Genomic DNA, 14743 nt, shown 5'->3' with positions numbered 1-14743 from the left:
AAAAATATCATTTTTAGCACTGATTTTTTAAAACTGTGGTGACTGTATTCATATTAGACAAAGTAGAAATTAGAACAAAGAATATTACCAGGGATAAATAGAGTTGTTTCATAATGATAAAGTGGTGAACTCATCAAGAATAAATGATCTTAAATGTTTATGCACCTAGTAAAATAATTTCAGTATACATGGGAAGAAATAGACAAATTCACAATTGTGGTCAGATTTCAGCACCCTTCCTTCAATAGATAATAGATCAAGTAGTTGGAAAACCAAGAAGGCTATAGAAGACTTGAACAGTGCTATCAACCACATTGACTTAATTGGCGTTTATAGAACGCTACTCAACAGCAAACTGCACACTTTTTCCAAGCATAGCCAGAACATTTTTCAAGATAGACCATATTCTGGGTGGGAAAATAAGTCAATTAATTCTGAAGGATTTAAATCATACAAAGAGTGTTCACTGACCATAATGGAATTAAATTAGAAAGGAATCTGGAAAAATATCTTGTAACTGAACATCACACTTCCAAATAACCCAGGGGCACATCCTGAGACATTGAAAACATCTTAACAAATTTAAAAGAATAGAAACCATACAAAATACTTTCTGAGACTACAGAATTAAACTAAAAGTTAATACTGAAAAAAGTGCTGGAAATTTTCCAAATATTTGGAAATTAAACAGTATGCTTCTAAATAACCCATGGATCAAAGAAAAATCTCAAGAAAAATGTTTAAATATTTTTAATTTTAATGAAAATACAGTTTATGAAACCATGTGGGATACAGCTGAAACAGTGCTTCAAAATTTGTAGCATTAAATGATGTATTAGAAAAGAAAAAGAACCTAAAATCAATAACCTCAGTTTCCACCTTTGGAAACTAGAAAAAGAGAAACAAATTAAACCTGCAGTGAGCAGAAGAAAGTAAATACTGAAAATTAGAGCGGAAATCAACAAAGTTGAAAACAGGAAAACAATGGAGAAAATCAACAAAATAAAAAGCTGGTTCTTTGAAAAGATCAGTAAAATGATAAATCTCTAGCCAGGCAACCAAGGAAAAATGAGTACACCAATTGCCAATATTAGGAATGAAAGAGGTGTTATTCTGCTAATCCCATGGATAAAATACAGGATTAGTAAGAGAATAGTATAAATAAGCTCTCACTCACATATTTGATAAATTAGATAAAATAGACTAGTTCCTTGAAATACACATATAAACTTAAAACAGCTTCTAGACAGCAGACCCAGATGGTTGTACTGGTGAATTCTACCAGCCAGCCAGTGTGACACAAACGAAATCAATCAGCACCAAAAAGAAATGAGCTGGCCGGGTGCAGTGGCTCACACCTATAACCCCAGCACCTTTGGAGGCCGAGATGGGTGGATCACTGAAAGTTGGGAGTTCGAGACCAGCCTGGCCAACATGGTGAAACTGTGTCTCTACTAAAAATACAAAAATTAGCCTGGCATGATGGTGGGCGCCTGTAATCTCAGGTATACAGACTATACCTGTAGTCCCAGCTACTCGGGAGGCTGAGGTGGAGAATTGCTTTAACCTGGGAGGTGGAGGTTACAGTGAGCCGAGATTGCCCTACTGCACCCCAGTCTGGGCGATTGAGCCAGACTCCATCTCAAAAAAAAAAAAAAAAAAAAAGAAGAAGAAGAAGAAAAAAATAAAAAAAAAAGAAGTGAGCTATCAAGCCATGAAAAGGCATGGAAGAAAATTAAATGTGTATTACTAAAGTAAAAGAAGCCAGTCTCAAAAGGCTGCATACTATATAATTTCAACTATATGACATTTTAGAAAATGCAAAACTAGACAGTAAAAAGATCGGCAAAACTTCTCTGTATGATGTTATAATGATGGAGAACTGTCATAAATTTTTTCAAACCCATAGAATGTACAACACCAAGAGTGAACTCTAAACCATGGATTCTGGGTGATAATGATGTGTCAATGGAAGTTTATCAGTTGTAACAAATGTACCACTCTAGTGGGGGATGTCGATAATGGAGAAGGCTAAGTGTGTTGGGGGGGGGGAAGGGAGTATATGGGAAATTGCTGTAACAGGCTCAATTTTGCTGTGAACATAAACTTCTCTAAAAAGTAGCCTATTTTAAAAAAATCGAACAGGAAATTAGAAAATATTTTGAACTGAATGAAAATGAAACCATATTTTCAAGTGACTAAGATGCAACTTATAGCAATGCTTAGACAGGAATTTGTAGCACTACATGTCTATGTTAGAAGAGAAGAATGGTCTCAAATTAATAACTCATCAGAGATTGTCATAATCATCTTCAAAATGTCTGAACATCTTTCATTAAAAAATGTGTTTCTTTCATGTTGTGAGAGAAGATAGAATTAGGGGTGGTTACTTACAAAAAGGAACCCGGCTCTTAGGATAGAAACAATTGTCATACTTCACCAGCTCTAGGCTGAGTTTCTTTAGCAAGACATATTCCTTTAGATATTCATAAGAGTTCTTTTAAACTGTTTCTGATATAAATGGTAATGAAGAAAATATTTTAAAATATTAACAGGAAGTAAATTGCACATTTCAAGTGATGTGTTGTATAGTAGGTAATGCAATATAAGAATAAGCAGTAATTTTAAAAGTCACAGAACTGTAGAATGAGAAGGTGCCTTAGGTATTGATATTATTAAGTCAAACAAGAGTGGCTTCAGCTCCTGCCTCTTTAATATCAAGGCCTTGGATGAAATTTTTAAAAGGAGGTGAGGACATCCATTTAGGTTTTCAAGTGAACAAAAAGCAGTATAAGGAGAACTAAATCACTAAGTGAGATATTCAGAATTCACCAAAAAAAAAAAAAAAAAGAAAAGAAATCTCAGGCTCAAGGGCGACCAGGAATATTCCAGAAGTACGTCTGTACTAGATAAAAGGTTGGATAAATGTCACCTTCTCTGCAAAGCCTTTTCTGGTTCTCTCAGTCTTAGTGGCCTCTGTCTTCCCACAGTATTCTGTACACTCTGTACTGTGGCATCTCTATGCCACCGCCCAGTAATAGGGTGTCATGAAAAAATGAGACAAGGAATAAAAAATAAGGTTTGCTGTTTACCACTGGCAGTCTTCTCTTGTGCTACATAATTAATCTGTTTTCTCTTAGTAATGTGAGGGTCAACGAAGTAAGATATGTGTTAGTTCTTTGAAAACATGAAAGCACTATCTACAGACAACAGATATCCCTGTGTGTATTTTTCTCTTCAAGTGGTAACAGTCTGTGAATTTCTTCTTTTACCAATACATTTCTACTCGAAATGGCTAAGTGGCAAGAAGTAAAGCTGAATTGTGCAGAAAAACCACACTGCTGCTTTATAGTAGCAAGGATTTGCCTCAATTAGCCTTTTAAAACGACACTTCAATTAGTGTTTCTGTTTTGTAAAGTAGCTTCTTTCTCTTTTATAATAGTTTGATCTTGGTTCATTAGTTGTCCCCCATAAAATCCTAGATTTGAAGGCTAAACTTTTAATGCAAGGAATCATGCAATCTAGAGACTGAATGTTAAATTTTATGTCTTTTTCTTTAAAAGAAATTTTTCCTTTTAACAAGTTTACACTGTTTTGATTTTCAGCATTGATAATAGCTATAATTATTGATCTTTCACTGTATGCCAATGCTGTTTTAGGAGCTTTATATTAGTTATCTAATTTGATCCTCCACAAACCCTGTGAGGTTATTATTCCTCTTTTACAAATAGGGAAACTAAGGTTCCAAAAATATTGTTAATTGCTTAATTTATAAAATTATTACAAAGTGACACTAAAATTTAAATACAGATCTGACTCCAGAGTCCATACTCTTAAGCAACTACCTCATTGAATGGAAGTGGTACAACCCATTGGCCTCAAAAACTAGGATGACTTATTTAATATAACCTTGGTGAGAGAACTCCAGTGAATGATTATATCCCCAGTACATGGTAGCTGGTGTAATGGAAACAGCATGAGACTCAAAGATAGAATACTTGAATTTAAAGTTTTAACTGCTGATTATTAGTTCTATGACTTTGGCAAGTCAATTTACCTCTCTTGAGCCTATTATCTCCTCATTCAAAAATAGATTAATAAAACCATCTCTCTCAGGTGGTTGTGGCAGAGATCCAATGGATAATGTTTCTCAGTGTTTTGTAAATGCTTTTGAAAGATACGTAAATGGATTGATAAGTGTTTTTGGTCATTTGCCAAAGACTTTCTTTCAGTAGTATTTTTCCTGAGTGCTTTTAAAAAACAATTTGATTTATAGAAATGTAGCAAGTTTCCAGAGAACCTCTACTGAGTTACAGGGTGATCATTATATAAGGAAGTTCTACTCATAAGCCTAGGTTTCTTTGATGAGATACATAGTTTTTGAGGAATGGTTATTTCATAGTACTGCGTCAAGGAATTCACAGATATTTCTGTCGTGATTTTGGAAGAGTGGGAAGACAGAGGGGTTAAATGTGTCCCCTAGGCCCAAAGCAAGTCAATGCCAGAGTTAGCTTTAAGGTTCCTAATTAATTGTCACACCATTTTTGTCACAAGCTACCTTTCCTGTGCAGTTGAGAGTTCTGTATATGCAAAGTCCATTTCTGTCCTAATTTGAATATAAGGGAATGTCTTTTCTCCTTGAGGGCTGTTCAGCTCTCTATACAAAATAGCATCTTTGACAGTCCAAGGTGAGTAATTGGTGAATAGATGGCCCTGGAGGTCACTGGTGACCTCCCCCGCAACCCCACCACCGAGATCAGTACTGATGCCTGTGGGCACGTGGGAAGGTTGTGTTCTGCCTCACCGAGTGGGTTCATACCTTTCGTTCCAATATTGTTTATTTTCTTTTTGGTTTCACAATTTTGAAACTTAACCCATCGATTCCCATGTGTACTCAGGATTAGTGACAAATGGAACGGAGCACAATGAAATGAAGGCATTTTGTTATAGGGTTCCATGAAGGTGTGAAATAAGCAATTCAGAATTCAATGGTGAATTTGGAAACCTCTTAGTTATATTTGTTCCGTGTAGGTAACCAGTCAGAGTAATTCATTTTCTTTCATAGTCCCTCTTGCTCTCTCCTCTCTCCTTGACTAACCATCCTCACCCCAACAAACACACAACTCATTTATACACAGGAGCTTGGATTACCCAGTTTGGGTGATTACCTGGATCCAAAAAAACCTGTTATATCTCTGTTCACACTTTTGTTGTACAAACAGAATTTATGCAAACTAACTCCATCTTTAAGTTGTGTTGCTTTCTCTGGAGATCACCCCTTAGGGTAACCCTAGAAACTGCAGCTCTGGAGATCACCCCTTACTAAGGTAACCCTAGAAACTGCAGCTCTGAATTCATCACGTTGTAGTAGCTTATTGGGTGTAGCCGACTGGCTTTAGCACAGCAGTGAACTAATAGAGGCTGCGTGTATAGCCATCTTCCTCTGGCTATTAGAACGAACCATTCGATTGAGAATAAAGTTTCCATATAGTTTGGGTACGGTGACATGAAAGAAGTTGCAGATTGTTCAGTGAGACTATCGCTTGTAGGGTTGTAGGATGGAGGAAGAAAGGGAGAGTGAGAGGGAGAAGTTTATTTATGGAATGTCAGGGGGCCATTGAAGCTCAGCAGGCCCTAGAAGCAGAGGACTTCCCCCCGTGCTTGTTTTCTCCCTCTGACCTTGGATGAACTAGCGAGCAGTATATTATGCTGGGTGATTGTGCTGGTTTGTCATGGTTAGCATTCTGAACTGTCACTGGAATGTAGGAAACGGATGAATTTGAATTAAACCATGAGGTGGTCTGCTGAGCCCTCTCCTTGTCTCAAGGAAACCTGTCGCTGTTTGTCTGGGCTGGGCCTAATGAAAGCAATGGAGGGAAAGAGAGGTGGGCCTTTGATCTCTTTGTTGCAGCTGCTCCCTGGGAACTCGCTGAAATCAATGCCCTGTTTTCCTGAAGGAATGAATGGCTCTGCCTAACTAGCTTTGTGAAGCCGTGGGGAATTCACTGCCTCTGTTTATTGACAGCTGAAAAGGAGCACATGGGGTGGAATGGACCTTCTTGTGAAAACCAGGCACAGGGAAAATTAGACCTCAATTTAACACAGAGGAATTGGGAAATTCACCCCAAAGGAGACGGGAGTTTCTCATGCTTACATTAGAATTACTCAAGTTTGGGGCTAGTGTGTAATGAACAATGGAGGTTTTGTCACAACTATGTTATAAGTAGGAATATGGTCTGCATAATAAATGATGTTAAGTAGAAGTTGATTCTCCACCCGCCCTCTTTTTTTAAACACAGAAGTAGAGTAAAACAAATATTAACCATGATACAATCAGGTGATTCTTTTATTTTTGCCTTGAGAGGAAAGAAAACAGTGATACAGTAAGCATTATTGATATTATATGAAACTCTCTAAAATCCATCTTTCATTCATTATATTTTAAAACATCTTTGAACTTGGAAGCTACGTTCCACTCAAGCCAGTGATTCATGCCATTCTGGATTGTGTGTATTGCATGGGAATATTACAATAATATATTTATTTTAAAATATTTATATTCTTGGGATATTGTAACTGGAAGTGTGTGTCAAACAGAAACTGGCTAGCAGACCAAGATTAGCGCCTGACATTATAATAGTTGATAAATCTTAAAATTACCACCTTTTTAGAACACACTAAAGAAAAAGTCTTGAGATTATCACAAGGAAACATCTCTGAGATACCTTCTTTCACATCTCCCCTCACTTGCTTGATTTCCCAGGAAGAATTTATGGCTTCTTCCTTTGGCCCCCAGCCCTTTGTGTACACCTCTATTATGGCACTTAACACATGGCCCTGTAGCTCTTTATTTAGGTGTATTCTTTTAGCTGGAAGTAAAGCAGCTGTGTTGTATTCATTTTTATATCTCAAGCCTAGCAGAGCTCTTGGCTCGGTAAATGCGAGCTGAATGAATGGGGATTGATGGCTCTGTCTACATTCCTTTGAAAGTAATTACTTATCACAGTTTCAACTGCAAATACTAAATTTTGGGAGAACCTGATTGGTCTGCTGTTACCTGATTGTTGCTATTGCTTTTTAAAATTCTTCCTCTGCAGAGAACTATTATGCCCTTTTTTGCTTTAGCAAGTTTGTCAGGCAGTCCACAGCCTCTAGAAGGAAGCATCACCAGTGTGTGGCATTTTTCTTTTCAGATCCAAGCTCTCTTCTCTGTTATTCTTTCCTAAAAATAAACCACAACGTAATGTTTAGATATTTCCATTAATGAGATGAAAAAACTTTTCATTTAGAATTTTGTAGACTTTTACTTGACCGAATTTAGTGATTGAGATGGATAAGGCTGCCATTTTACATGATTTAATTCTATGATGTAATGTTAAATAATAGCAAAAGTCAAAACCTCCCTTGACAATTTCTTTAACCAGATTTACTACCATTGCATGTTTTGAATTCCTTATCAGAAAAGGCAAACAAACAGCTTTGCTTCTTAGTGAAAAGTCTAAGGGAAATTTTGATTCTGAAGCACTGACTAGTCTGATTTCACAGAACACTGGGACAAACCCAATTTCTTAGCTATTCTCAACTTATAACCTATTTCTTTTTAAAGCCAGAGCTGGAAGTGGGAAATTGTTGTCAACATTTATTGGGAAAATAACATCTTAAAATCATAATGGAAATTTTTAGAAAGTGTTGTAGGAGGGAGTAAGTAAGCAGACAAGTACAGGAACGGGCTAATACTTTACTCTCCATGTTATTTTTGTTTTATGTTCACTACCAAGATTATTTTTAAGGAAACTTATTTGCACTTCTGTTTTGATTAATGGTAGAGGTAAAATTTAAAATAGAGGTTTACACATTTGTGAATTGCGGGAGGAATCTCGTAGAGGAAGGGGCATTTGTATGGGTTGTACAAATAACGTCGGGTCAGCGGGATGTGATTCTGAGATTTTAGATTTCTCATGAAACAGAAAAATTACCATGACTTTGATCATTGGTAGACTCTCACCCTCATAAGTATTAACTTGAAGATAAAAAAAAAAAGCATTAAGCATAGCACTTAGATTTCATAACTTGGCTGCTCAACCCTCCCAGTTTCTGGAAGTAATTTTGTGTGACATAATACCAAAGTAGGGAGAGGCAGAGAGTGGAGGGAAATGTAGGAAATCAAACTGCACTTTTCCATTTGATGTTTCAGCTTTCAGCAGTGAGGCATATCTTTGTCTACATTAATAAAAAAGAACTACAGACAGGCCAGGGAAGTAACTGCAGTTAAAAATTGTGGTCTTGCTATGCTTATAGAATCAGATAACTTCAACTATGTGATTCTTCAGAAAAGAGCCTTTTTCTTCAGACTGAAGACTGCTGTAATATCCAAGAAGAAGAATTTCAAGTAACTTAAGAGAAACCCTCAAAATAGGTTTGGGGATGGACATATGTTATGTCTCTGTGTTTACATGTGTGTTAATCTACGTAAGCTAACTTCCTAGTAGAAAAATACCAGATATTTCCCTCTTAGACAGTTTCCCGTCCACCCAGACTGACCAAATAAAGCAGCCCTAATAAACGTTTATCTAGCCGTTGAAAACAAGACATCCTCCTTACCCACTAGATTTAGTTGCAAGAAAGCTATTCTGAAATACAGAACTATCTAAAATTAAATAATGTGTCAGTTGTATAAGATCAGATATGACTATTATAAAGATCATCTGTAATAATTAGATACCTAATCATTTGTAGTTAATCATTTGTATGTTAATGAGGTTGTTAAAATACTTAGTATATTTTCAGTAGTTTAAATGTTTACTTTGCAACATTACATATTGCCTTCTTTAGTGAGACATTTTTCTGCAAGGAAAAACCTCAATTCAGGAGGAAAAACCCAAACTCAGCTTATACCTAAAAGTTTATGCCTTTTGCATTAGTAAGATTCAAATTGATATGGTTTCGTTATTTTAAAAACACATACAACAGCAGCCTTTTTGGTCAAGGCACAAATGTGGGCTACTCAGAGAAGGAGGTTACTTAGGGTTGGTGCTCAAGTATTCATCCAATTGGATTGCACTGCTAATCAGTAATGAATTTATATCTGTGGAGGTGAGGGTTGATGGGTTTAAGTTATTGATCTATTTCCTGTCTTCATTATTTTCACTGAAAGCTATATTTCCATCTCTTTTCAGTCTGTAAACATTTTGCTGCTGCCCTCTCATCATTTGCTGTCCAGTTTCTGTCCTTTTCCTTATCTCAAGGTGAATGATTGGGTCTGCACAGCAAATTCTTTTCTCCAGGCCTCTGCTGATAATAGTGGTCTTGACTTTAAAAAAAAAAAATTGAAGTTAAGCCAAAGTGGGGTGTTTTTTTCCCCCATATTTTGCCTTTTAGTGGCTTTTTCTTCCCTCCCCCTCTTCACCCTCATCCCTGCTGAGGTTCTTGTTTCCCTTACCCAAAGGAATAGTGTTCTTCTTAGTTGACGCTCTTAAAAAGGTTCTGACTTAAAAAAAAAATTTTTTTTTTTTTGGTAGAGATTGAGTCCTGCTATGTTGCCCAGGCTGGTCTCAAACTCCTGCCCTCAAGCATTCCTCTTGCCTTGGCCTCTCAAAATGCTGGGATTACAAGTGTGAGCCACTGTGCCCAGCCATGAGTATTTTGTAATTTCTGCTTGAGGCTGTATTTTTACTTGGGGTCTCTGAAAAATAAATACAAATACATGAATACTCCCTGCTTACCAGACAGTGTCAAGCATTTATCTCAAATTAGTTTATTTAATTCTCAAAAGGGTCTTGTGATGTGGGTGTAATCGTTATCTCCATTTTACAGGACAGGAAGCTGAGGTAGAGAGAGAAAACCAATTGCATGAGGTCTCTAAGTGGCTCCAGGTGGCACCAAGATTGGAATCTAAGCTTTCTGGCACCATACTGTGGTCTTAACCACATCACTGTATAGCCTCTCTAAAACTAAAGATCCCTTAAGGACTCAAATGGGTGCCTCTGGAATGCTGGGATATGGCATTATAGCATAGCATGTCGATGGAGAGAGATTTTTGACCCCTGGTATCCTTGAACTCATATTCTGATTAGGTAAATGTCAGCATTCATAGTACCAATGTGTTTTTTCTTGATGCTTTTTTTTTTTTTAAACTTTTGATATTGTTTTTCCTTTAGGATTGCTGTCACGTCTAATGTGGCTGCTGCCTCGTGTCACATCTGAAACTCATCTGTACCTCACTTAGAAAGGTAAATACGTCTATGCGGAACCCTCCAACTCCTGCCCCCCAGTGCTCCTGCCATCAGTCATGGCTCTGTATTCTTATTCTCTCCTCGCATTACAGCACAAACCAGAGCCTTCGCCTCCTCCATGGTAGAGGGGCTTATGTCCCAGAAAAGACTTTGTGAGAGAATTTACATTTGAGGAACTTCAGGCCTTGAGGGGGAAAATAAGGTTGGGGGATTAAGATGTGGACTTAATGAAAGCCTGTTTTTCACTCTAAAAATTCAAGAGGACACGCTAAGAACGATCATTGCTATTTATCTGTCTTAAATTAGAAATCATGGGCATTGTACAGTTGATTTTTACTTATCATGACTTGCTCACTAGAAACTTCGTGATCTCTTTCTGTTATATTTTAAAAAGATGTTTTTAAATGGTTTTATCTTAAAGAAATATTAGGAAAAAAAAAACTGAGGTAGGGTCCACCATTTAGAATCAGATATCTAGAATGTAACGTATGTTACAATTCAGAGTCTCTAAACCACTCTCCTAAAATCATAATATGAGATGATTCTCAGCTTGCCAAATTTTCTAGAGTTGTGAAATAGGTTATGTCACTCAACCAGTGTTTATTTGAGGGAATTCATGGTTGGCAGGGTCCCCATTATACATCAGAAGTTTTTATTTCTTATTTTCTATCACTCATGTAAAGATTAGGATTTGTTTGAACTGCCTATTTCAAGATAATGATTCCAAATCCCAGCCTTAAATTTCATATCTAACATGTTTGTTGTTTTTCCCTGTCCCATACATTAATTCTAGGTTCAAGGCCATGTCACCCTAAAGCAGCCCTCACTTCTTTTGCAGCTGCAGTGCTGTTGCTTAACCATAACTCTTGGCCTCTCTCCAGACTGTTTTTTTTTTTTTTTTTTTTTGCAAAATGTCCTTGATGGTCATAATGGTGTATTTTTTAAAAATTCCAGTTGTTTTTGTAAGTTTTCTTATATCCCATCTTACATTCAATTCCCCCTGCAAACCTCCCACTAGATAAACCACTTCCCGCTCTATTCTTTGTCTTGAGACTGACTTCTAGGAAGGCTGTCCACAGCTGCCTCAGGCCGAAGGCTAACTAGGAGAATATTAGGTCGTGTGCTTGGATTCCTGTTCTCCAAACGATTCTAATTAAAACTAGTCCACTACCCCCACCAACACGTTCAGAAGGAAAAAAATGTAGCAGAATCCCCAAATGCCCTCATCACTTCATTATACCATTTGGGTAGCTTTATGGCACCTGTAGGACTAGTTCATGCCAGGCCCATTTGTAACTGTTTTCTCTAGTTAAACATGATATTGCCATTAACAGCACATTAAATAGGATTACACTGCTTAAGAATCTAGGAATTTCTCAAATATATGAGAAAATGTGAAAGCACAGGGATAATAGAAATTTATTTTATAAACACATGCTAGGAGATGGAATTGTGTCATGATGATCCACATTAAAGAAACATGATTGAAGTGAATCCATTATTTATACTCTGACTTTCCATTATATATATATATTACTCCAAAAGAAGTTATTCATGTTTCCTAATTGTGAGCTTACCCATCGTGTAAAATTGGCCCTAACACTTATTCACAGGCCACATCTACTTCGTACATGTACTTTGCCTCTGTATGTACACGTGTAACGCATAACCGTATATCAGCTCTGCAAGATACATAGATATCCCCATTTTATGGTGACGGAGACTGAGGCTTAGAGAAGTTATGCAACTTACCTAAAGTTACACACCTTCCAAGCAGCAGAGCCAGCATTCGAACTTAGACCCATCTGACTCCAAAGCCAGTGCCCTCTACACTAGACCACACTGTCTTTCTTAGGTTGGATCTAAAAAAATACTACCAGCTGGTTGGTTTTTTAACTAACTGTAGGAACACAACCTAGTATTAAGTAGAGTATGCATGCTGCATAGTGGACTGAGGTAGAGTAAAACCCATTATTGTACCACTTTTAGGTAAGAAAATGTATTATCTAAGGAATATCATTAAAATTTCCTTACTTCCCTCCATGAACAAACAAAAAATTAAAATGAAAGCAGTGGGGGATGAAGGGAGGCGGGGATCATAACATAGGAGTGTTAAATATTAAAATTAGAAAAGAAAATAATTTCTCTATCAATGTTTAAAATGCTAGAAATTATGCATGCTTATACTATAACAAAGAATACTTTATTTGGGGAATAACTTAATTGATCCATGATGTGGCATTTACCAAGGTAATTTTTCCCTTTTTGTTCCAGCAGTAGGAATTAGAGGTGGTTCATAAAACACACAATCACCATGTAAATTGAAACCGCATTAAGATCATAGTCATCTTATGTTGTTTCCCTAAAATGGTTCTCATTTGCCCCACATATTCAAATCAGAGTGCACAAAGATGTTGTGCTGAGTCAGGGAAGATTTAGAATGCTCTGTGAACAGTTTTATACTGAACTTCAGAGTTCAGTTATTGTACTTATTTTTTGGTGTGTGTGTGTGCACAGTTGGGTTTTTTGTTTGTTTTGCTATTTGAATTACTGTTTGGCCATTTTAATGTATATAACTGATAAATCCAGGAGGATAATCTGTATGTCTGCTCTCTCAGTTTCTTTCTATAACACAAGCCTGAACATATTGCTCTCCTGATTAACAACTTTCAGTGGTTCTGATTAGACAAGACTTTTCGTTGCAGTCGACAGAAACCTAATGGGACCATTGAAGAATTCCAAACAGGCAAGTGACAGGAACATATTTGCATGTTAGAAGAATCAGCCTGGCAGCAGCATTGTGATTAGAATGAAGGGGAACCGTCCAAAAACAGACTGGGGAACCAATATGGATCTGCCTCTAGCATGCGGAAATATCTCTCTACACTGACCTAACTGACTCACTAAGCTTGTGGTTTGTTTAAAGGAAGCCACATGAAAATTGAGTTTGGGCCAATAGAGTGAACTCGTTCTCCATTCTCTAGCATCCCTCCCCATGCAACCACCCTATCCCTGCCAAGTTTCTGGGCACCACAGATTGGAAAGTAGCCTCCTGTAGGTATTTGCCCATGTTAAGTGGTGGGGTCTCTTTCTGTCTTCCCTTCTTGGTCTCACCTGTCTGGTGTGACAAGGGAAGCATGTGCCAACCAAGGCTAGACCCTTGTGAGACCAGAGCAGCCCCACTTTCGGTAAAGCAAGCAACCTCTGCTTACTTGCCCAACACACCCTAGCTTCCGTGTTCCTTGCCTTGTGAGTTATCTTCTTGGGTACAATTTAACACAGCGTTCCCACCTCCTTATAACTAAAATAGCTAGAGGGGGCTTTGTGCCTCAAACCCCAAGGAGACCATCTTGGCAATCTCTGCCTCTGCAACAGGGCACTTGCTCCCTGGGCAACTCCTTTCCCAGGTCATCTTCTCCCTTGACATGCCCATCAGATTTAATAGTGTGCCTATTTGGCAGAAAAATGGGGTCCCTTGGTTGCTGATTCTTAGGAATGTGAGGTTCTCCCAGCCAGAGCTCTCAGCACTAAAAGTTCTAGTCTCTGCGTAATGGCCGGCATATCTTTGGCGTATCTAAAATCCTCTTCAGTTTCCAGCAGGGTCTTTATAAGCTTCTTCTGAAGGTCTCAGACATTCAGCCACGGAACTCAAGTGGAATTTGTTTGGATAACGTGACTGATTTCAAAGCCCGGACCCCTTAGACGTGCCCATTTGGTGCTGCAAGTACTGACCATTACTACAACATCTTACAGTCAACAAATTTGACACATTAAAGATTTATATCCTTTCTTTTGGGTTAGGATCTTCTCTCCCCTAAAGCATCTCAGTTTCCAGCATGCAATCATTTCCATCTTATGGAAATCAGCCATCCCGCTCCGTGCCAGCATGCTACCCTGGGAGGCACATCCAGGCTTGGGAAACGGGGGTGTCCTGGATCTCATGACTCCAGCAGCACCAGCTGCTCTCTTTCCTCTTCCAAGTAGACTTCCGTTCCCCCCCCACTTGGGTGTTTTTGTTTGTTTTAGCAATTCAGAGCTCAAGATAAAGACCTTAAAGATAACTTTGTGTGTCTCTCCCTTTCTAGGTATTTGCATAGGAATCAGAGGAGTTAATCTTGTGAGTATACTCTAACATCTGCCCTTGTTTCCTTCCTTCCTTCTCTATCTGCCTCAGGGGTTTAAAGCATAAGCCTGCTGCCCTCCCCGCCACCCCGCCCCTCCACCCTAGGTCACCAGAGCGTATGCAGAGTCCATGGTCCTCTCTCTAACGAAGCGGTGGCCTTTTTTGAAAACTAGATTGGCTCCAGTTCCAGCAGTTGTAGCTAGTCTATAGCACAGATGTGCACTGTTCTAAGATTCTGCACTTTATTGAGGTGCCCCACAAGTCTGCATTTCACCTCAGAGTGTCAACTATGCAAGAAGCATTACTGTTTTCATTCCCCATAATGAAAACGGACTCCAGTCCCCATTCTGCCAACCTAGAGGAAAATTTCATGTCAGTAAGATTTAGG

The 14743-nt window shown here is 38.1% G+C and overlaps 1 protein-coding gene across 26 annotated transcripts in view, besides 3 other annotated features; it reads left to right on the top strand.

The window, feature by feature from the left end:
* The window catches only part of PLAGL1 (PLAG1 like zinc finger 1), a 124300-nt gene that overhangs the window by 85464 nt on the left and 24093 nt on the right, over positions 1-14743 (top strand). For 7 of the 26 annotated variants that reach the window (NM_001289042.2, NM_001289044.2, NM_001289037.2 and 4 more), the window contains 2 exons: positions 10158-10229; positions 14318-14349. The gene's annotated coding sequence lies outside the window, so the exon portion shown is untranslated. Of the gene's footprint in view, positions 1-10157; positions 10230-12850; positions 13287-13657; positions 14350-14743 lie in introns of those variants that run through there. The other 19 variants (NM_001080955.3, NM_001317160.2, NM_001080953.3 and 16 more) reach the window with 9 other exon arrangements.
* Positions 5146-5730: an enhancer, noted in NCBI's record as "OCT4-NANOG-H3K27ac hESC enhancer chr6:144294543-144295127 (GRCh37/hg19 assembly coordinates)". NCBI's record gives its function as "activates a minimal SCP1, AML or CMV promoter by ChIP-STARR-seq in naive H9 embryonic stem cells {active_cell/tissue: H9 hESC(naive)}" and the evidence as "EXISTENCE:reporter gene assay evidence [ECO:0000049][PMID:30033119]".
* Positions 5731-6315: an enhancer, noted in NCBI's record as "OCT4-NANOG-H3K27ac hESC enhancer chr6:144293958-144294542 (GRCh37/hg19 assembly coordinates)". NCBI's record gives its function as "activates a minimal SCP1, AML or CMV promoter by ChIP-STARR-seq in naive H9 embryonic stem cells {active_cell/tissue: H9 hESC(naive)}" and the evidence as "EXISTENCE:reporter gene assay evidence [ECO:0000049][PMID:30033119]".
* Positions 13989-14502: an enhancer, noted in NCBI's record as "OCT4-NANOG hESC enhancer chr6:144285771-144286284 (GRCh37/hg19 assembly coordinates)". NCBI's record gives its function as "activates a minimal SCP1, AML or CMV promoter by ChIP-STARR-seq in naive H9 embryonic stem cells {active_cell/tissue: H9 hESC(naive)}" and the evidence as "EXISTENCE:reporter gene assay evidence [ECO:0000049][PMID:30033119]".

The sequence above is a fragment of the Homo sapiens genome, chromosome 6 (genome assembly GCF_000001405.40).
Source record: "Homo sapiens chromosome 6, GRCh38.p14 Primary Assembly".
Classification (NCBI taxonomy): domain Eukaryota; kingdom Metazoa; phylum Chordata; class Mammalia; order Primates; family Hominidae; genus Homo; species Homo sapiens.
The sequence above is the reverse complement of the archived record's forward strand: the minus strand, read 5'-3'. Positions and strand labels throughout refer to the sequence as shown.